Here is a 24,876-nt window from a genome sequence, read left to right on the forward strand (position 1 = left end):
TCTGGTGACTAAAAGCTAAGCCTAATGGAAGATAAAATGTTGCCTTCTACAATTATTTGGAACTGAGAATCAATTTTACCATTACTATTGGACCAAACATAGATATATATATATTCTTCCCCAAATTCATGATCAAATAAGTATTTTGGGAGCCCTCCCAATTCCTAAGTTTTCACATTCCTGAGCCAGGATGTGAAAATTTATTTCATCTTACTTTTCAACTCTGCTCTCATGATGATGACTTCCTGGAACACATATTAAAAATGATTCATATACCTTAAGATTTCCATGATTAATTTGCAATGTCTCACATTGGTATGGGGAAAAGCAGTGGTAGTATGTATTCTCTCTTTTTTTTTTTTTTTAAGTTGGAGTCTCGCTCTTGTCCCCAGGCTGGAGTCCAATGGTGCGATGTCTGCTTACTGCAACCTCTGCCTCCCGGGTTCAAGCGATTCTCCTGTCTCAGCCTCCTGAGGAGATGGGACTACAGGTGTGCACCACCATGCACAGCGAATTTTTGTATTTTTAGTAGAGATGGGGTTTCACTATGTTGGCCAGGATGGTCTCGATTCCTTGACCTCGTGACCCACCTGCCTCAGCCTCCCAAAGTGCTGGGATTACAGGCGTGAGCCACTGTGCCCGGCCAGTAGTATGTATTCTTGTATTTGACATTCAAGAATAATAGGAAAATATGTACAGAAAGTGAAAAGGAAAGAGAATATTTGGATATCTGTGGTGTGTACAGAAAGTATAATGAGGCAAGAATACCATACGAAGAAATGGAAGATTCTCAAGGAGAGGGTAAGGCTTATGTCTCAAGATAACATGACAAGATTGTATCAGACATTTGATACATATCAGACATTTGATATGTATCTGATACATTCTAAAACAATTTTAATATTTTAGTACCAAAAAAAAAAAAACCCCTCCAAATCTATGCATACTTGGAAGGCACAAAGCACGAGCTCAAACAAGAACAATCTTTTGGTTCTCTGATGTAGGGGAAATTCCAGAAGGAGCCACTGAGCCTTATGAGTGCATTTTCCCAAAGGATTATAAAAGCACACAGTGCTGGGCCAGTGCACATTCCTTCTGATGTTCTCGTTTACCTTTTCCCTGCTTTTTTTCTCATTTCTCTTGTTATTCCTAAATGCTTAACATTTAGGAGTTCTTCCTTTTAACAAGTTCTTTAGCCTTTGACTTGCCTGTCACCACGGAGTTTTATGCTTTTGTTATAAGGCAGTGAGCTTGCTCCACACACAGTCCAAACTGAGCAAAAAACCCTTCAAAAGCCCCCCAAATGATGGCCTTGTCTTTTTTAATGTATGCTCAAAAAAATGAAACAATCTGCTTGATTCCTTGTGTTAGAACAGCTGGAATGAAATGAATAGAGGGGGGTGAGCAGTTCTGCAAAATCTTTGATAATAGAGAAATGCAAGTGTTCCCCGTCAGCAGTAGGATGACAATTTCTCTGGTATGAATGATGTAACCAAATGGTTGTATATCGCTGCCCCATTCTTTCTTGTCCCAAGGCACCCTTGGAAATGCAATGCTACATCTCAATGGGATTTTCCAGTACAAAGATTCTTTTCAAATAACATAATTGTGGATACACACCACTCCTACAGTGGTAAGTATACTGAAGATGTGCCAAAACATTAGGGCAAAAATTCAGTTCCCATGGCATACAAGCAGGAACCCAACCATTTGCAGCAATAAATAAAATTTTTGTAGACTACGAGATTATAAAGTATGCATTCTCTGTTAGAATCAAATTGCCTGTTTGTTTGTTTTGGAGTAAAACAACCTGATAAATGAAAGAAGAAAGAAAAGCATATATGAATGCAGAATTTGCGAATATTTTTGTTTCATAGCTGAAACTGGTATATTTTATTGCTCTCAAATATGAAGCCAATAGATGATAAGTGATCATATAAAGAGATAACAATTCTTTACTTAATATTGGTTGAACTCTTACTTCCTTGACTTCCTGAGACTGTGTAAACAAAATGAACAGGTAAGCAAATTAAAAACAACAATGAAAAATCTTGCCATCTAAGGTTCAACCAAAATAGAGTTCAGGTATAAAGAATAGCATAACAGAGGGAGGAAAAAAATGAGCATAAATAAATCATTGGGCATCACATTTCTGGAAGCCATGACATATTCACAGTAGTTGAATAAACTTGCTTTAAAAATGTGAAGATGTGTGTAGAACACATAATAGACAGATTTGGATGGCTTCATCGGATGAATTAGAACCAATGGGTAAACTATAGAAGGGCAAATCAGATACCAGCTAAAAATAAGAAAGAAAATCTTAGCTACATTTACTGTATTAGTCCATTCTCACACTGCTAATAAAAAGATACCCAAGACTGGGTAATTTATAAAGAAAAGAGGTTTAATTGACTCACAGATCAGCATGGCTGGGGAGGCCTCAGGAAACTTGCAACCATGGCGGAATGGAAAGCACACACGTGCTTCTTTACATGGTGGCAGCAAGGAGAAGTGCCAAGCAAAGGAGGGAAATGCCCCTTATAAAACCATCAGATCTCATGAGAACTCCCTCATAATCATGAGAACAGCATGAGGGTAACCACCACCATTATTAAATTACCTCCCACTCGGTCCCTCCCATGACACATGGGGATTATGGGAACTACAATTCAAGATGAGATTTGGGTGGGGACACAGCCAAATTATACCCAACAGTAATAACAGTAATAACAAACACTATGACTGGAAACTTTTGAGATGAAATTGCAGTGAATAAGACCCAGGGACTCCTTGCCATAATTCCAGAATTTCCCAGGCTATGATAGTGAAGCAATGACAGGTACAGTGCGTACTTGAGGAAGTTTATTCCTTTAGGAGCGTCGTGAAGAACAAAATATAAGACTCTTGTGTTAGGGAGTAGGAGGTAAGAAAGGGTCTGGACTGTGAGTCACTGCTCAAAACTGTAGGCTTCACTAGACACTCATTTTAATCTAGCATTCATTCTCTCTCTCTCTTTTTTTTTTTTTTTTTTGGCTGAAGTCACTCTAATTTTCCTAGGAAAACCAATTCTTCCCTACTCATAACTCATTTAGTTGAGGTTCACATCACCCAGTTAGTTCTAAGGAAAATATTGTGACTTGCATCTGCTAAAAAAAAAAAAAACATTACATCCCATGGCCACAGTGATTGGTTAAACAATAAGTGTGTGACCCACAATCAGCCAGTTGGAGCCAAAGAAACCCAGTGAGAAGGAGTCTCCATGCTAGTGTTGTTGAGTGGTCTCAACAAAAGCCTAGAGCTTTTGGAGGTCATCTTGTCATCATAGAAGAAGAGCCTATGTGAAATAAAGTTAACCCAGAATAAAGCAGAACTGAGAAAGGGTGCCGAGTAAAAAGGAGTATGAATTTATGTGTGCTTGCAACCAGTCATACATAAAACTAACCTAAACTTTTCACTCTTTGAGCCTCCCTCACCTCAATCATTGTTTCATTATGTCTGTTTGAGTTGATTTTCTGTCACATGCAACCAAAATGTTCTGATTAATATATGGATGTCAAGTGAGAACCATGGTGTGAAGTTCCTGGACAGTCAGCAGTTCCCAAGAGCCAGGAGAAAGGCAATGGAAAATGTGACTGCCCCATGACTTTTTAGAAGCTAGCGCTGAGTACTACACACCATTGACCTTAACCACATTCTCTATTCATATCATTGATTGAATCTTAATTTTATTTTCTCTCAACCTCTGCTAAATAATTTCATTTCCTCATAGCCTTTTCAAACCCATCCCATCTTATTTCAGGCATTCTAGACTTCAGACCACCATAATTTTTACATGCCCAAATACACAGGTATAATTTGGTGCAATGGGAAAAAAATGACAACTAAATTGATTTAAATGCTCGCCTGTTATTGTCGTACTGGGTTCTACCCTTCTTAATTCCTTTATTCTTGTATTGTGTTGTATATTGTTATTTATTGAGTTATGTATTGTCTTTGTGTTTCATTTGAATGCTCTAGAGAGGGAATAAATTTATAAATGCTTAGAATGATGTAGTTTTCATACAATTATTTTATTTCTATTGTGAAATTGTATTTGTAATTTTAAATGTTTCCTTAAAATACTTTAGTCAGGTTCCTGGCACACATTGTTTTTATTTGCAAATAAATGTAATACAATTTGATGAGAAGCAATGTTTAGTACATAATGAATCCTTAAGCAATTGTTTTTCAATTTTGTTTATGATAGATTATGCCTTGCAATGACAGAAGATAGCATGTTAATAAACTTAGGAGAAGTAGGAAAAGTTGAATAGGATGCCGGCATCTTAAGATAGGAATTTTTTTAATCTCTTATTTTAATTGTTGAAAAAAATTAAGCTTAGGAACTCCTACTTTTAGAAAAAAAAGGAGACCAGTACTTCCTTCCCACCAATTGCAGTGCTTTTTAATTTTTTAGATGATAAGATATATATATCTTATCATATATATGTGTATATATACATATATATGTATAAATATAAATATATATAAATAATATATGTATATATATTTTATATATATATATGTATATATATATAAAAGTAGTACATATTCTGTATCCTGGAGCTTAAAGAACAAATTTCTGGCAAGCTGAGGTGACTGGCCCAGTGTCGCAGCTCCTCTAGTCTCATCTGACTACTGTTCCAGCAGAAGGCAGCGATGTCCTGAGCTTACCTGTAGCTTATAACCTTCACCAAAGCTAATCATTCTGAAGCATGGTCACTTCTACAAGCAAATTTAACCAGCAAATGGCTCCAAAGGGAAAAGAGCTGTTACTTTTTTTTTTTTCATTTACTCAATTCCATTTAGATGCCTTTGAATAAAAAAAGGAGAGAACATCATTTTAGTTATTCTAGCCTGCTTTCTGAGATAAGCATAGGTTTGTTCATATGGGATTATATCATTTATGTTTTTTTTTTATTCCTTTAAGGATAGCTACCCCATATAATTCAATGGTTTAGATTCTTGTTCCCAAAAGCTTTGAACATGAGTCTCTTCTTGCCTTATGTAATCTTCTGTCAAATACAAACTCAGCTAGTAGGACCTCTAACTTTGTATAAGAATGCACTAAGCCGAGAAGTTAATAATTGAGGGTTATGACTGCAAGAATATAAAGGTGTTTCTTTTATTTCAGGAATTATACAGATTATGTACATGAAAGCTATAAATAAACAAGCAGAAATCTTTCCCTTGTGGTCTTACCCAGGGTATTTCACCCATTCTCCAACAATATTTTACAAAACCAAAGAGCCAAAATAAAATTCAAATTGTGGTTTCAATAGTAGAATTGCTTACATTTATGTAGTTTGAGGAAGTCTAATTTAGAATTCACAGGCCATGGATTTAGTCCCTGCTCTGCCGCTATACACTATTCTCTGACAATAGGCAGCCTAGACCAAGGATTCTTAGACTTGAGTGAGTGTTGGAATCATGGGTAGAGCTTCTTTAAAATGCAGATTCCTAGGTGGACCCTACCAGCAGAGATTCTGATTCTGCAGGTCCAGGGTGAGGCTCATGCATTTGCATTCTAAGTGAGGCTGATGCAATGATGATCTTTGAAAAATCAGTAGTTTAGACCTTAATTATTCTGTTTATAATGTAGCTATCCAATTAGGCCCATCAATTATAAACCTAAAAAGGAAAGCATGACAAAAATTTTTACCACCAAATGAAAAGGTATTTGTTTAAAAATTCCATACTTTAAAATATTAATGAAAGAGTAACAGACTCACAAACACATTGTGGAAAATGTGGAATGTATATTGGCACCATAGTCCAGGTGTGGGAATAGAAGCAGCAGATATCTGTGAGTCTAAAATTATTCACCTGGATAACAAGAGAGTGTTAAGACGAATCTTCTCTCTCTACTTCAGAGTCCAATTTTCTTTTGTTTATCCTTCACAGTTTTTTAATAAGTGAACAATAGCCTCCATATAGCCTGTAAAGATTTATGGTATTTAGGAAAGAGATTCTGTCTTCCCTAGGTCACACATGTGTCTTGAACCTGGTTTTGTAGCACAGGCCAGTAATAATTTAAAAAACAAAGAAAAAATTTAAAAAATAGTGTTTTCTGGAACAAGTCACATTTCATTTTTGAAGGTATCAAGAGTGCTAACAAGACTCTGGACTTGTAACAGTCTGGACTCTTATGCAAGAAGCCTCAACCTTTATACACTCTTGCAGTGTAATCTTTTTCCCACTAATTGAGATGAGACACTAGTTACGAACAGATTTAGTTAACACTGCAGTTCTGTACCTTCTATCTGAACCTAATTACTGTCCCACACCACCAAATGTTTGCTCATACCTCACCTTCAGTATTTCAGCTGCTGAAAAGTAAATCCCCAAACATTCCCTGATTAAGTTCTTGTTTCATGCTTGTAAGTTAATATTGAGATGCTAAGCCAGAAGGTGGAGGCATTGTTAGTGACAACTAAAATTAAAAACAAAGTGAGAATTAGTTTGTTTCTATAGCTGTCAATGGGGGCTCTGAGGGAATGCCGGTGTGTAACTCCAGTTGCTGTAGTATGCTTAGAAGGATTGTATTCAGTCACTCACTTTCAATAAATACCAGACATTTGACATATAATGGGATTTCAGGCCATCCAACAGGTTGGGTCTCATGATTACTTTGTTTTATTTTTTGTTTCAGATATATTTTTATATACTTTCACATAGTAGTTATATACTTTCACATAGTAGTTTTGCTTCTCTTAATTGTGAAAACAACTCACAAATGATATTACTTGACTTGTATTTTCTCAGCTGTATCTTTTAGTTGATTGTCTTTCATTTTGAATTTGGCAAATGAATTTTGAAATATGTCTCTAAACATTATACAAGGCCAAATAAATGGCAATGCATATTTTGCAAAGTAGTTCCCCGACTTATATTTTATGGACCAGCAAAATCACACAAAACAATGGAGACTGACATAGAGTTAACAATTTTCTATTTAATAAAAAGAGCATTGAAAATATAATACCTCCTATTATACTTTCCTCATTTATCAATAGTTTAGGTTTTTGAAAAGTAAGAAAATAGACAAATAATAATGTCAATTTTTAAAAATTAGCTTAAAAATACAATACAATATCTTGCCTGTTTTTTTTTTTTTCAAGATGCACCCCTGAAAATGTTATTGACAGCCTAGAAATACTAAGAACCACTGTGGGAAAGAGAGAGAGTTAATTATCTGCTCAGTTGAGGAGAGGGGTACATGATGGGCATACTGAAGGAGTGATTTTCTGACTAAGCACACAGTCCTTTAGAGAACATGGGAAAAAGTAATACGCACAGGGACTAAGGCTACTAGAAATCTCAGTGCTACTCTTGACCCTAGCTAACTAGTGTGTGTAGGTCTGGCTAATAGCTCTATCCTTTCCTCATCAATACTTGAAAGGGTTGTAAGTATTTCATTAACATGAATATTTTGAGGACTTCCTGCCCGTTTTATTATCATAACATCAGTAGGAAAACAAGACTCGTTTTAAAGAAATTTACTTTGCTGCACATGTTTACTAGTGTTCTGTCATGCAAGATGTATCAGAAGAGAAGATGGCATGTTTCTTATTGTGTATAGATTTTGGCATAAAAATTTACATAATCTGGTCAAAGTCTAAATGGACAGTGCAACATAAACTGCTGGTTAGCCTCAGTCTGGGCAGGCTCAGAGTAGCTGGACTTCCTGGACAGTTGCCCCCAAGCCAACATCATAGACCTTAAGCTGCTGTGTCAAGCTGGGTCTGACAGTGACGCCTTGCAGATGGCCTGCTGGATGAGTAATGCCTAGTATTTGCTGCTTTACTAATGATGCTCCAGGCTCTGCCATGAAGCGGGTGGACAACTGCTTTAGTGGCCAGGTGCAGAATTCATTGTGTTCATTTTGAACAAAGATCTTTTAGAGCTTCTGGAGGAGGAGTCCTTTTTCAGGGTATCAGAGAGAAGGCTGTGTAGTCTAAATTGTGATTTTGCCTGGGGTGGGAATTGGGTGGGTTGAGTGGCAACAAGGTGGACATCCTAAGTAGACAGAGCCGTGCAGGTGGACCTACATCATTACTTTACGTATACCAAGATCAACTATCTTATGTAGACTGTGGTGGTTAATACTGAGTGTCAACTTGATTGGATTGAAGGATGCAAAGTATTGTTCCTGGGTGTGTCTGCGAGTGTGTTGCCAAAGGAGATTAACGTTTGAGTCAGTGGATTGGGAGAGGCAGGCCCACCCTCAATCTGGTTGGACACTGTTTAATCAGCTACCAACACAGCTTGATAAATAGCATATACAAGAAGCCTAAAGATAATTTTATACTTGGGGAACAATTGAATGCCTTTCCCTGATATTGAAAACAAGGCAAAGGCTATCTGCCCTCACCACTCTTATTCAATATGGTGCTAGAATTCCTATCCTGTGTAATAAGAAAAGGAGAAATAAACACCAAACAGATTAGAAAGGAAGAAGTAAAACTGTCCCTATTTGAAGATGACATGATTGTATACATAGAAAATCCTAAGGATTCAACCAAAAGCTACTATAACTAAGTGAATTTAACAAGCTTTTAGGATACAAAAATGAATGCCCAAAATAAATTGTATTTCTACAGGCTAACAATGAATACATGGTCAGCAAAATTTAAAATCAATACAATATCATTTAAAATTTCTCAAAAAAGATATATACTTAAGCACAAACATCAAACAATGTATACAGGACTTATATGCTGAAAACATGTTGCTGAAAAAATCAAAGAAGATCTAAATAAACAGACATACTGTGTTCATATGTTGGAAGACTCAACATAGTAAAGATATCTATTTTCACCAGATTGATACACAAGTTTAATGCAATTCCTACTAAAATGCCAACAAAATTCTTTGGTAGATATAGAGAACATTATTGTAAAATTTATATGGAACAGCAGAGAAACTAAAATAGCTAGCACAATTTTGAGAAAGAGAAATGGAAGAGGAGAAATAGGTATACCTAATTTTAAAACTTATTATTATAACTACTGTATTCAAGATTGTGTGACGGTGGTGAGACAGGTACATAGATCAATAGAACACGATGGAGAGCCCATTATTAGATGAACACAAATATACTCAACTAATTTTTGACAAAGATGCAAAAGCAATTCAATAAAGATAGCCTTTTTCCCCAAAAGATGGTGTAACAATTGGATATCCATAGGCAAAAAATAAATAAATAAATAAAACTTGACCTAAGTCTCACATCTTAAATTAAAAAAAAATGCATCATGGACTTAAATGTAAAACACAGAATTATGAAACATTTAGAAAAAATAATAGTAGAAAATCTTTGAGATCTGAAAGCATAATTCATAGAAGAAAAAATAGATTAATTGGACTTCATCACAATTAAAAACTTTTGCTTTGTAAAAGATGCTATTAAAAATATGAAAAGAGGAGCTACAGACTTGGAGAAAATATTTGCAAACCATATATCTTCCAAGAGAGTAGTATTTAGAACATATAAAGAACTCTCAGAATTCAACAATAAAAAGCAAAGCAATGCAATTTTACTGAACAGACATTTTACTGAAGGGATATATTGGCAACCACACAACTTCAGTGATATTCAACCTAATTATCCATTAGAAAAACATAAACTAAAATGAGGAAATATAACTACATACCTATCAGAATGGCTAAAATAAAAAAAATAGTGCTAATACCAAATGCTTGCAACAATTAGTAGAAAGTGGATCCCTTCTACATTGCTGGTGAAAATTTAAAATAGTATAGGCACTTTGGAAAATAGTTGGGCAGTTTTTTAAAGAAATGAAATATGCAGACATCATATAACCCAGTAATTGCACTTCTGGACATTTATATCAGAGAAATAAAAAACTTACACCCACACAAAAACCTGTATGTAAGTGTTTATAGAATCTTTATTCACAATAACCAGATACTGGGACTAATCTAGGTGTCCTTTGGTGTATGAATGGCTAAAAAACCTGTAGTACATGGAATACTATTCAGCAATAAAAAGAACTGAACTATCGATACACATGACCACTGGATGAATTTCCAGGGAATTACACTGAGTGAAAAGAAAAGGCAATCTCCAAAAGTTACACGCTGTATGATTTTATTTATATATCATTGGCAAAATGACAAAATTATACAAATGGAGAACAGATTAGTGATTGCCATAGTTTAAGAATGGGTGGGGAGCCTATGAAAGGAAACGTGTGATTCTTACAGTGATGGAAATGTCACCTTGGCTATATCAATGTCAATATTCTTGTCATGATCATGGTATCACATGATCACATGGTATCACATGGTATGGTTTTGCAAAGTGATACTATAAAAGATAACTGGGCAAAGGGAACATGGTGTCATTATGTATTTTTCTTATAATTTCATATTATCTACAATTTTCTTAAAATCAAAAAACTTTTATTTTTAAAAGTTATAGAAGCAAACTCAACTTCTTTATAAATCTTGTATAAGATTTTATTTAAAAGTTTAAAATGACTATTATTTACTAAATCTCCTAATATTTTTGATTTGCTCTTATCACAGGCAAATAACAAAGAAAAATGATTCAATATTTTCACCAATATAGATTCCCTCCAGGTCTGTTTCCGTTTATCCCATTGTATGTTTCAAAGTAATTCACCTTGTCATCATAAGAGGGAAACATTCCGTACGAAAAAAATAGAATATTTAAAGTCACTTTTTTGCAACCTTCAATAAGATAATTACCTATGTAATATCTACATCAAAACTTACATGAATATATTGATAAGGAATTTTGTAATGGTTGTGTCAGGCTGACAACACCTGGGTCCATTGATAATTTCAGTAAACATCAATTTCAAAAAGCCAGTTCAAATGGATAATCAGATATTACGTAGATCCTGATGTAATACAACAAGGAACACATAGCAGCAGCCATGAAGTGTCTTTCCTCCACAAACACCTCCCAAATATACTACTCTGAATGAACTCAAAACTCTAACTCTGTCTACTAGTTTACAAGAAACCTAGAGGATGGAGACAGGTCAATGACAATATAGTGAAGAATAAGTGAAATTCAACTTGAAAAAGGACCTAACTCATTCAACAAAAAAGGGTCAATTGTTAAAGGTTAAATAAAATTTAAGAAATGTATAAATCAAATCAAAGTGTGGATTTTGTTTGTATTCTGATTTGAGCACACCATCTAAGAAAAAGTTAGCGGAAATTTAAGTGTGGGCTGGACAATGATGATGTTAAGTATTTGCTTAATGATTTAGATGTTTGATGACATTGTGGTTATGCTTAAAATGGCCCTTACTTTTTAGAAATACATATTGAATCACTTATGGGTAAAATGATATGATGTCTGGAATTTGCTTTAAAACACTCCAGCTAAATAAAATTATTGATGACCAAAGTCAGAGAATAGAGATTTATGGAATAATATTGACTCATATTTGGGAATTGTTAAATTTGGACAATGGCTATATATAAATTAGTATATCACCCTATTTACTTTAGCATTTGTTTGAAAAATTTTCACTAAAATAAACAATTTTTGCTAAGCGAAATCAAGTAGAGATTTCACAGATGATTGTCAGCTTTTCATATAGTATTTTGAAAGACCTCAAGCAATGTATTCTTGGATCATTATATTATTCAGACTCTAAATCAGATTGTATCAATAACTGGAATTGAATGCCCCTCTATGTGTTCTAATAGTCTTTTATAATGGCATTACTCATTCAGTGGCCAAGATTTTAACATACTTTTAGATTTCTCACTGTAGCAGCCCTTGAGCACTCTAATGCATACCTACCCTGTGCAAGATCCTGCCTTAAGTTTAGTTTTTAGTTTTGTGTGTGTGTGGTTTTTTTTTTTTTGGGGGGGGTTTGGTTTAGGGGTAACACAGTTTAAGGTATTGCTACAAAGGTCCTTATGGTCAAAACATGATAAGTAAATGCAAGGGAGGAGAAACATTCTTTGCTTTGGCTTTCTCCTTCCTGCCCCCCGCCTCGTTTTTCTCATTCATTCATTCATTCATTCATTATCTTTTCTTTATTTCTGTATTTATTCATTCCTCTTTTATTTTTACCTTTTTCTTAGGGATTCCCTTGCTATTAGTTGTATGATGTACTTTTGGAAGACGGTGGTTACTCACGAAAAATACCTTTTACACTTGAGAAAAACAAAACAATTTCTTTTAAGTACAGTACATTATCCTGCTGAGCTGTCATATGAGAACAGAAAAGTATTCTTGTTCAAACTCATGAAGTTGGAAAAAAACATGCAAATTAAGTGTGAAGCATAAATTGTTCTGAAAACAAACAAAAACAACAACATTAAAAAGAACAAAGTCATCAAGGGAAATTCAAATTCAGGACACAGCTGTGCACAACCTTACAAAGCAGAGAGTGGCAAAGCTCACATAAAGAAAGGAAAGATTACATTAAAAGAGAATGCTCAGTGAAACAAGACATGGGCTAAGTCTACTTTTATTTAGAGGAGATCATTGTAAGATATTTTAATTACTGCTTAGAAACACCTTTAAGGAACAATTTCCTTTTATATTAATAATGAAATTAACTTTTGTTTCAATTTTGTTCGGTTTTCTTCATAGCAGTGGGACTTATAAAGTGAATAGGTTGTCATCAAATATGCTTAAGAGATCACTCGTTCACTTGTTTACTAATTCAGTAATCTTTTATTGCTCCCCTCCTATGTGATGGGCATTCATGTTTCACAATTAGGAGGTACAGTCCTGAAGTTTCATGTACTTTAACATCCTGCACAGGATACTCAATGTCAAATATAAACACAATGATTACAGTAAAATGTGTTGATGGAGGTATATCCAGAGTTCAAAGTGGCACACAAAAAGACCCTTCAGTCATATTAGGGGCATAAAGGTTAAGTTGTGTGTGCGTGTGTGTTGTTGGCTCACTGTAACCTCTGCTCATGGTTTTAAGCGATCCTTTCACCTTGGCCTCTCCAGTAGCTGAGACTACAGGCACACACCACCACACCTGGCTAATTTTTGCATTTTGGGGAAAGATGGGGTTTTGGCATGTTGCCCAGGCTGGTCTTGAACTCCTGAGCTCAAGCAATCCACCCACATTGGCCTCCCAAAGTGCTGGGATTACAGATGTGAGCCACCATGCCTGGTGGTGGCTGTAATAGGGTGAGCAAGGGGAGGTTTCTGGCATTTCAAGCAAAGAGGCCCATGTGAGACACAGTGGTCTACAATAGTTTGAAGCAATCTAAAGCTACAGGTGGTTAACTGATGGTGGAGCAGAGGGTATATCTTGACACCAGAGGGAGGTGCTAGAGACTTCTTCTGTGATGAACTCAAGATTTACAATCCACCCTTGAACAACATGGGCTTGAACTGCCTGGGTTTACTTATATGCATATTTTTTCAATAAAAGTTACTCCAAGTGTGCCTGCCTCTCCTGCTTCCCCTCCAACCTCCTCCACCTCTGCCACCTCTGAGACAGCAAGACCAACCCTTCCTCTGCCTCCTCCTCCTCAGCCTGCTCAACGTGAAGATGACGGGGATGAAGACCTTTATGATCCACTTCCACTTAATGAAGAGTAAAAATATTTTCTTACTAACATTTTCTTTTCTCTAGTTTACATTGTTGTAAGAATATAGTATATAATACATATAACCTAAAAATATGTGTTAACCGTTTATGTTATCAGTAAGGCTTCTGGTCAACTATAGGCTATCAGTGGCTAAGTTTTGGGGGAGTCCAAAGTTATACATAGATTTTGGGCTGTTTGGTGTCCCTAACCACTGCATTGTTCAAGGTTCAACTGCACAATATAAAGAATGAGAATGAATTGAAGGATGTTACAATGGGAAAGATGGCATGATCAGATCTGCATTTCAGAACGATATCCCTGGTATCATGCAGAATGGTGAGTGGGCCTTAAAGTGCCAAACAGATGGTAAGGAAATCAGTGAAGATGTTATTTCAGTAATATTCTTTTGTGTTCAATACCTGTGGCTAACAAAAAGTTAACTTTTTAGCCAAATTGTGCCAGTCCTTCTCATATCCATTTTGTGCCTTTCTTCTGCTCTGCCTTATAGTTAAAGTGGCCAATCTCTGCAAACTACATTTCCCAAGTCCCTGTGTCCACAGGGCTTCCATCAAGGTTTGGCCAATGGAGTTATTGGTGGGAGATTGGAGGACAGGAAAAGGGGAGAAGCTAGGGTATTTCTCCAAATGCCCTAGATTTAATTTTACCATAGTTTAAAGCCAACATGCTTCTTCTTTTTTTTTTTTTTTTTAAAGTAGGGTTCCAATAATAGTTAAGTAGTGGATAAGAAATCTTCAAAAATAGCCATACTGACAGGATAGAATTTGGTAAATTTTCAAATAAAAGTACAAAATGTTCTTAGAGCTCAGGTAGGGAGATAGAGCTACCAGCTAGTCAGAAAAAAAAGACATGGGTTTTATACACTGCTTGGTTGGAATTCTCTAAAATCATAATCTAGTCTATTTTGAGGGCTACACCAGAAAGCACCTCTGAGTTATGTACTCATCAAATCACTGACTATCTTGAGATTGCTAGTCTCCTGGTATTTCCCTCTGTATGTCTACTATGGCACCAATTTTTGTGCTTCTGGTTTGGGCCCTTATCTGATAGAAAAGGAGCTTATAGTGTAGCTGTTTGGACAAAGGCATGCAGGTATCAGGTGACAAGAGAGGCAGCCAGGGGACTTGATATTTATGTGGATTGAGGGCAGCATAATATCTTTGGGATTAGGGGCTACTTATTAATTTCTAGATCCAGAAAACAAAGCACTTAGACAGCATATTGCCAACATATATGAATTAGAAAACCGCAGACCCCATATAGACGGGGAAGAGAAAGAGCTTTTAGGAGATGGAACTGAGGAAGGCATGTGCAATAATTCCTTGTCAAATTATAATATTTTTAAAAAATTAGTCTTCTGTTAAGTATCTATGTAATTGCTTTTTGTTCTGTTTTGTTTTTGATTTTGGATTATGCTCAATTATGAGTGTCAGAAAAATACTATAACAATCAGATATAACAGAGGTAAAGGACCTGGACAGAGTACCCATTTCGGCTACCTGGGCAAAAAGAAAATCAACTATTTGACTGAAACAATAACACCAGCAACAATGAAAACAGCACCTGGAACAACACAACCCTCCTTCTTTTTAAAACTTGGAGACTCTTAGTTCCTGGCACTTGCAATGAATATTAGTGTTCAATAAACAATAGATTAATGAATGAATGGTTATAAAAATGACAAAGTACTTTTTTTACAGCCTTTGGATGAAAACATGATTATTAAGACTTGCTGCTGGAAAAAAATAAATCATTCTTTTATTTATCTTCAAATCCAAGTAGTTTCCAACATGTACACCCAAATCAAAATTATGAGTATTATTTTTAATAGATTCTTTTTTCTTCTTGAGTTTAAACAATGAGTCAAATTTTATAGGCACCCCAAAGCTATCCAAAAAAAATCTGCCCTTGAAATGCTGAAGACCTTCAGTGTGAACTACCAGTCAAATTGCAATCGTATTTTGAAATCTTAATTTCCTTCCCAAGATAGGACTTTAAGCCTTTTTCTATTTTGATGATGAAATATTGGATTTATAGTATAGAAGGGTAAACTTGAATTTTCATAATAGTAAAAAAAATACAAAGTATCATTGGCAAAACCACTATACCCTCACAAAAAATGAAGCACTATAAATAGAATATTCCAATGGGCAGATGTTAGCTTAAAGTGTGCATTGTTTGGAAAAGGAGTTAATTAACAACTTATTAATTGGATAGAAAATCTGAAACTGTTGTACTTCTAGCAAATACATAATTTTCTTCAAGTATTATTAAAGCATTTTTGTTGTACCTATTAAAGATTCTTGTCTCTAAGTTAATTTCATTATGCTAATAAGCTATCATCGTTACAGAACCTAAGCTTTGATCCATGTTAATTGTCGTGATCTTCAAAGACAAAGTCACCACTTACTTTAAATGAATTTTACATCTTTTTAAAGAATCATACGGAAATTAGGGGAAGTAATTAATTTTTTATTATGTGTCTCAATATTTTTAAGGGAGGAAGTCAATGGTATTGGCTAGAATTCATTTTAACATTTAACTAGGGAAAACAGCATGAAGCAAAAAAAACTGTTCAGATGCAAAAGATTAAAGAAAATTTGAAACTGGGACCTAATTTGTCTTGATAAACTTTGGTGTTTAATATGCTTCTTTTGTTCTCAGTGTGAAACTGCAGGGTTTTGATTTGTGAAAACTTTTTGAAGAATTAATTCTTTCTAATTTTTCTTCATTTCTTTGCCTTTCTTTTACAGTAAGACAGACAAGTTGACCTTCAAACCATAACTCTTTTAAATATCTATGAACTTACAAGGTTAAATCTATTAGTGGTTTGATATTAGCTATTGTACGCTAACAGAGTAGTGTCTTCTGAAACGGATAAGACTTATTTGTTCCTATATAACAACTGGTTGTTTGAACCTTAACAAGTATAAGCAAATAATGTTATTAAACTATTTGCATGTCTCATTGTAAAACAGACAAGGTTAAGTATAAAAATATTAACTCTATTTTATGAAGTTAATATTTTATGAAATTTTTTTTGTGTGAAGATAAAATATACTTTAAGGACATACCTGAAGTGGATAATTATTGGTTGTATATTCGTTATAACCAGAGTGACATGCAGGTTAAAGGCATTCTTTAAACCGCCCATCAAAGTAGATCAAACACGAGATCATAAATGAGAAAAGCAGAAGCATCATATGGTATATTTTTTCTTAAACATTCAGAGACAAGGGATTAACAGCCAAAATTATAATTTTGTAATTATTTATACTGTATTAAGCTTTCTGAACGATTTTTTTGGAACGATATGGCATATGAAAGAGATATTACAGTTAAACATACATTAAAAACAGGAAATCACTAACTGTGGTAAATAAATGCTTCACAGGAAATAGAGATGTATCAAATAGATTTTTAGAGAAAATCTGGTGGCTGTAATATAATTGTTAGCAAATAAGAACATCTTCATACAGCAAACAACCTAATAGTGAAATTCCACTTTACTGTGAAGAATTTCTAAGACCCACTGGAGAAGTGTTGAACTCATTATAATGATTTCTTTATATGTAAACTGTTAGTTCTCAATTCTTTGTCTATAAGAAAATAACCTGGTGATAATAAAAATGAATTTTAGCATGGTGCCCAAGGGTTTATGTTTTTAACAAATATTGCCAGTTGCTTTTAATGCAGATGATTAATGGACTACAGGACTTAAACGTTGATAACATCAGTAACAAACTCAAATTTTGTCTGTCCTTCAACTTTATGCATTTCACTTCTTATAATTCTTTACCAGCCAAACAAGCTAATAGTAAAATCCACTGATGTATCAAGAAAATAGCCATAGAAATGAATATATTGGATTAATAATTTTAGTATTAGCATTGTTCGTGTTATATTAGAATGACTAAAAGCAATCAAATGAACTAATTTCATTAATTAAGGTATGATGAAACATAATACATTTTCAAATTAATAGTGTTCTTTTCAACACTGTGAACCTATATACCTTCTATGGTTTGGTTGTCATTTTGGATTGTTTCCTTTGCATTAGATAGGCACTTAATGCATGTCTGTTACATGAAAATACTAGATTTTAGTCTTTTATTTTGTAACTCAGTGTATGGCCCAATTTAAGGTTATCTGTTTTGTTCACCAGGTGTGGGTATTTTTTTTTAATCATAACCATAGACACAAGATAAGCATTTTCTGCCATTGAGATTATTTGAAAAGCTGTACTGGGGTTTCTGAAGATATTTACATGAGTTTTTTTCTTTTAAAACTAAGTTCTGTAATAGCATATGAACATTTATTGTATGTGCCATCTTACAAATTTTCATAGACAAAATCACACATTTTCATGTGTATGAATGTGTAATTTCTCTCAGAACTGCCTGGTGGCAGTGGGGGGCTGGAGGCTGTCTACATTATATTTTGAGATTGAATGTAATTCAATTATATTCACCTAAATTATATTTCCCATTATATTTTGAGATTGTTTCAATTGTATTTTGTTTTGTATTTTGAGATTGTTTCAATACTGTTTTAATCTCAAAATAGAATGGGAACAATCTCAAAATATAATGGGAAATATAACTTAGGGTGAAAAGACTCATAAAAGGAAATTATTTACATTAAAAAATATATAACTCCCAAATCCTAAGCAACTCTTATCCATAACATCTCCCTCAAACATATTAAATCATACTTCAAATGTATTATAGAGATAATAGTAATAAATTTGTGAAATTATTCTCTTATTGAAAATGTTCACTTTAGGCTACAATGAAAAATCTGGGGACATGATAAAAGTGACAAAGAACTCAAAGTTTACTCTTGAGAGGATTGTGTTAGACTTGGGTTGAGGAGGGAAGAGGAATACCATTCACATCCAGCTCTACCAGTTTCTTCCTAAGCTGTCAGAGGGCCCTGCTGTAGGTAGGAGGGAGAAGAAAAACTTGTAGAAAGTGGATGAACAACAGCCTTTTGTTTTTCCACTTTTGTGATTGTAAGGAAAGAATGAAGTGTGGACTGCTTTCCTTGACAGATCTTAACACAGAAATTCATAGATTCACATACCTCCTTTTGTCCCAAGCAAAGCCCTCTGGTCACTAAGCTAAGAGGTCACTGCTAGATATGACTGTTTAGAGCAACATGTGCCATGTACAAGTGGCAAATCCTATGGAGGCTCAGACCCTCTATGTATAGCTTTAATCAATTTAAAGTTTTAGACCAGCTGACATATGATGAAAATTATGAATAAACAACTTTAAGGTTAGGAGATAAGAGGTTTACGAAGCTAAAATTGTTAGATAGTTTAATCAAAGGTGGAATTTATTGAATATAAAACTTTGTTTTAAGACTTTTTATTAAACTATTAGAACAACACTGCAATGGCTTCAAATAAGTTTACAATCAAAGGTGTAGCAAATCCTTTCTTTAGGAACCATAGCCCAGACTTTGTCAAATGCTATAAGCATTGAAGAGCAATAACTTTTAATAACATCTGATTTATTTTAAAAGAGGCATAACTTTCCATTCAAAGAAATATAATATTTATTCAAGGAATAGTTATTTTCCCTGATTGTACTTGAATTAGCCAATTATTAATATTTTTTATTTATTGTACTTTATGCACAGGCTGCATAATGGCACTCTAGCCCTAATTTGTGGCCTGCACAATATTTTATACATTTCAAAGTTAGTTTTTAACACCTAAAATACAAGTATCTGGATTTCTAGCTTAAATTTAAAAAACATTCACTCTCTGAAAATATCGGGCATTTTGATCTACATAGCAAAGATGAGATCAAGGCAAGCAGAAATTTCCTTTTTTACAGTTGAGCACTGTGTTCACCTCAGCACTTAGCTAGCTGCCTTCACTTATGTAAATAACTTGTCCAAACCCAAAAGACACTTGGGTTTGCCCCAGTTGATGAAAACATCGTGGTCTACTAGAAATGAATGTCAACCCTATATCCATGATTGCGGAGCCATCTATGTGAAAATCACTGGGATACGTTGAAATTCAAAACAATAATACTAAGGAAAACATTATAAGGAATGAAAAGTGAAAACACGAGAGCAGGATGAACTGTTATCTTAAGAGACACAAGACAGATGGGTTCATGCTCCAAACTACCATTCTCAGCACTTTAGGGAGCCTTAGGTGAATCATTGAGTATTTGGCAAGTCTAAGATTGAGAAGTAAAATGTTAGAATTTGGTGGAAATTACCTTAGTTTCCATGTACAGTAAGTAATATTCTAACTTAAAAATGCTAAAATACCTCCGACTGAAGATGGTTATAAGATGCTCAGGGTTAACTGTGTTAGATGCTTTCCTCTTCTAAAGACCTTTGCTTTTAACTAAATGCTTGCTTATCTTTCTAATTTAACATAGTCCCACATTCTTCTTTGTAGTAATTTTGGGCTATCAGATAACATATAATGGAAAACATGTTTATGCCTTCCACCAGTTCTTGTTGCATATTTCAAATGCTTAGAACAACAATTTTCAGAAGCTTTCATTAAGGTTAATTTAAAAACTACATTAAATACAAACAGATTTTCTCACAAACAAAATGCAATGTGTACTTAACAGACTTCTGTATGTTATATTTGATAAACTACCTCATATAAATGCAAATTTTGACTTTCTGCCAGAACCAGGTGGTATGGAAAATATTTCTATTAAACAAATAATGCTGGAAGAGCAAACTTCAAGCACTGGTATGTTACATAAGGAAAGAGGATGTTTCATTCAGGTTTGATGTATATTTCAGGTTGACCTTTATGCATACAAAATAAAAGAAACATACTGAAGAATAATATGTGGTGAGCGGTTGTCTTTGGCGTGCAAGAGGATTCAGGAAAATATACCTGGGGAGGGATTTTTACATATTCAGAAAAATAAGCTAAAAATATTGTCTTCTGTTTTGCATGGTTATTTGCTTGCGTTATCTTACCCACTGTGGTAGTTATCTGGATAGCTTTCATCTTAATCACTAAGTAAAATTGAACAAGGAGAGCTAAATAAATCAGGATGATCCCATATATCGCCTCACACAGAAAGGCTTCTTTGAACTCTCAGCTAGACAAAATACAATAAGAACACTCATGTAAACAGGAGACCTCCTCAAAAATAATAACCTTAATGTAACTATGAAAAAAACATTAGACAAGCCTAAATTAAAGGATATCCTACAAAATGTATGATCAGTACACCTCAAAATTGTCAAGGTCATCAAAAGCAAAGAATGTCTTGAACACTCATACATCAGAAGACACTAAGAAGATGTGATAACTACATGTAATGTAGTATTCTGGATGAGATCTTGAAACAGGAAAAGGATGTGAAAAAACTGGTGACATTCAAATAAAGCATGTAGTTTAGTTTAATTAATAGTTATATACCAGTGTTGACTCAATTCTGACAAATACACCACAGTAATGTAAGTTGTTAACAATAGGGGAAACTGATACAATGTACACTGGAACTCTCTGTAAAATCTTTGTAACTTTTCTGTAAATCTAAAACCATTCTCCCAAAAGTTTATTTAAATTAAAAGAATAAACAGAAGATAAATGGAGAAAATAGTATTTGGCCCGAAGGTATATGTTCAGGCTTATGAGGATACTTCTATTCATTCCTAATAGGATAACTCCTTGGAATTGCTATGTCGGAGATGGTGATGATTATATTCAAATTATATCTGCTTTCTTGCTTAGTCACTGTGATGAATCATGCATGGTGTCCACCTGATGACTAGGTGTTCATTGCAAAGACAGTTGTTGCCTACATGAAGTGCAATGGGAAAACCTGTGACCTTGAACGCATTGGTACTGGGTCCTAAAAATTAGGCCTAACAAACTTGATCCTCGCTGTAGACATAGGCTATATTTGTGAGGTGTTTTTATGAGACAGGCTGAAGACTCCAGAGAAATGTTTGATTTAGGACATGGTAGTCATATTTAAGAATGTTGCAAATCGTTACAAAATACTATAATGATAATTTGCAATATGGGAATAATGCCTAATATAAAAATATACAAAATTGGGAATAACTATTAGGTTTGAGGTGATAGGTTAATTATCTAAAAGTAAAACCCCAACTTTAAAGAAAAAATATTTTATACATAAACACACACACAAACACACACACAGAAAACCCCACGAAGATGCTGATGATAATGATAGCTTCTTCATGGGGACTTCTGTTCTAACCACTGCACATAGAGCTTTATATACTCTCTCCAAGGTTGCTATCACCACTTCTGTTTTATAGTAAAGTCAATAAGACTCAGAAAGAATAAGTAACTTGCCAAAGTACCCACATCTTGTAAGTAATACAGTAACTTTCCTCTAATCAATTTCTCACAACAGCACCTATTACCATCCTTGCCAAACTTTCTCTCCTATCAAGTCTCTCAGGTCTTTATCTGCTTGGCATTATTTCTTGACTGTCTTTTTAGATTAATGACTCATGTTCATGTCTCAGAGACCATAAATGATAAGGCTGGCATTCTAACCCAAGTCCATCTAACCCCAAAGTCTATGTACTTGAAACAGTGAATTAACATGCCCGCAATACAATATTGTCTACATAATGCTCTTGATCTCAAATAATTCTAGAATGGCTAGTAGGCTCAATTATTCAACTATTTGAATTATTATATTTACCTTTGGGGTATGAATAAATTAACACATTTTATGTACATTTGAAAATGTTAAAAAAAAAACCTCTCTGATCAAAATATTCACTACCAAAAATATAGTTTTAAAAAGAATATGGAATTACATTTTTCTCTTTGCAAAATATCTGTTAACTTCAATATGTAAATGTTATGTATATTAAAGTCACAATGTAAAACTGTATAGGAATTATAAAAGTGAATTGAGAACAAAGGAGAAAGCCTGGGGTTGGAACACTGAGAAACTTTGTAGGGTCTTAATGAAAAGTTTCTAGAGAGAGAAGAGTAGACTTTATTGATGTTGTTCTTGCTTAATATAAGACCTTAGGTTTTCATCCCTTTATGTAGGGTATTCCTCCTGCTAGAGAAGATAGAGTGGGCTAGCTGAGATTTCTGGAGATCTGTTTAGACTTCTGATCTAATGTGTTATTTCTGCTAATCTGAGAGTAACATTACTGACTCATAGGAAACAATTTAATTGTCTCTAATGATAATATCTGACTGAGCCTATAACTCTTAAGAGCCAACTAGTTTTACTAAAATAATTTTCATTTATATCATAACATACTTAAATTTCTTTCGTTTTAGGATCAAAATGTAGCCAAGGCTTTAGAGTTCATGAACTTTCAAAAAGAGATCTTTTCTTTCCCGTTGAAATGGGAATAGCAGTCATTGTGTGCTTCCTAAGAAATCCTTGTCTTTACAGAGCTAATAAGTTATAGTATACATATATTCAGCACAACCAGTATTCTATTCCAAAGGGAAGTAAAATTGGAAAATTATAGTTGTTTTTATTAATTCTATATAATAAACGTTTTTCTGAATCCTTGAGAGAATTCGAAAGTCAGAAAAAAATTGATTATATAAAGTATGATTTTAGTAGTGGGTTAATAAAATCATGTGTACTCTTAACATATTTAATGTGAGGAAGCCTGACAAATGGCATTGACTTTATGACAAAATCAATATTTGTTTTGCTATGCTGGGTAAATTTATTTCTCATAGCATCAAAAGAACAAAATTCAAAGAATATGCAAAACCAGAGACTTTCAAAATTGAATATGAAGTGAAATATTATCAAAACCTATGTTAAGCTGCTCTAGATTAGTTATTATTTAAAGCAGATAGTCAAAAGTATTCAACTTTTAAAGTGAAACTCTGATGTATTTAAATATGAGTGACTTCAATTTAATACTATTATTATTTCTTTATACATTTTTTCCAGGGAAAATTTCAGATTTTGAGCCAAGTATAGAATTATATGGTTGGAGGTTACATAATGCAGGCCTACAGTGTTTTATATTATGTCTAGGAGATAGAGCATTAGATTTCACAGAGAAAGTCATAGAGATGTCACATTGTTGAAATTTCTGATCTAGTTGCGATGCATAGGTTTGAATGACAAACCCAAGGGCCAAATTCACAAAACAATTACATTTGCTTTTTGCACCCTTGATGCCCAAAATACTGGGATTTGCACTTTTAAACAGACAAAATAAATTATCTCTTTCCTCCTTATAAAACTTTAAATTTACAAATGTTTCTTACCTAACTTTAAGAACTCTCCTTAGGGGCTTAGCAGACCTGGAAAAAAACAGGACAACCAACAAAAAAGGTGTTCCCAGCTCAGCCATCCTGTTTATCTATCTGTTTAGCTCTAGTTCATTGTAAACCACAGGCACATAAAGATTTCTTCCCAGGGCATCTCTAAAATATGTAGCATCACTTTAAAAAGTAGTTTATGTCATTTTTTAACATATTACATTTATTTCCAAAAGAAAAGAATAATGTCACCAATCAGCCCCTATTTCTCTTTACTGTTGAATAGCAGATTCTGTCCCTTTAAAGCTCATTTCTTGCCATCATTGTCAGAAAGATAAATGCACAAATTATATATAATTTATGCCCATTAAATGTATATCAAAATTCCTAGGTATTTAAAAAAATTCTTGATATTATGACTTTTTAAATGTTGGAAATCTACTTATTATCCAAATAAAAGTTATTAATTAGCAATATGAAAAAATGGATTTTCATTTTAATCAAAAATAAACAAAAATACCCTTAGAATTGTTACAATACTGATATTTATCAGTGCAGATGGATACCCTTAAAGATTCTCTTTTTTGTCGGCCCACAGCCACTTATTGTAAGTACTACAATAACCTTCCTTTCATTGATTGCTCCTAACAACACCTAGTACCATGTCAAACTTTGCCACTTGTGTAGTTTCCCAAGGCTTCATCCTCTTTGCATTGTTTCCTGACTCCTTCTTTATGGTGAGGACTCAAGTTCATGGTCTCCCGGACATTTACTTGTGCTTGTCCCAAGAAAGTTCTTCAGATTGAATCTGATGCTGCAAAACACTTCTGCCTTGATGAAGGAATCTTCCATGATTCGAATAACTTTGTATTAATTACGGCCTTTAAGTATTCCAGTGCTGAAATTACCAATACATAGGGCAACTCCACATCCTGGTTTGCCCAGACAGTTCTGTTTTCTGCCTGTTATCATCAGTTAATTATTAGCAGCACTCA

The 24,876-nt window shown here is 34.1% G+C and overlaps 1 long non-coding RNA gene across 1 annotated transcript in view, besides 1 other annotated feature; it reads left to right on the forward strand.

Moving 5' to 3' along the window:
• Window positions 1-24,876, forward strand: part of LOC100505498 (uncharacterized) — a 257,710-nt gene that overhangs the window by 109,620 nt on the left and 123,214 nt on the right. The window lies entirely within an intron of this gene.
• Window positions 3,358-3,427: an enhancer, noted in NCBI's record as "active region_16606". NCBI's record gives its function as "activates an Ori minimal core promoter by ATAC-STARR-seq in GM12878 lymphoblastoid cells {active_cell/tissue: GM12878}" and the evidence as "EXISTENCE:reporter gene assay evidence [ECO:0000049][PMID:35858748]".

The sequence above is a fragment of the Homo sapiens genome, chromosome 2 (genome assembly GCF_000001405.40).
Source record: "Homo sapiens chromosome 2, GRCh38.p14 Primary Assembly".
Taxonomy (NCBI): Eukaryota; Metazoa; Chordata; class Mammalia; order Primates; family Hominidae; genus Homo; species Homo sapiens.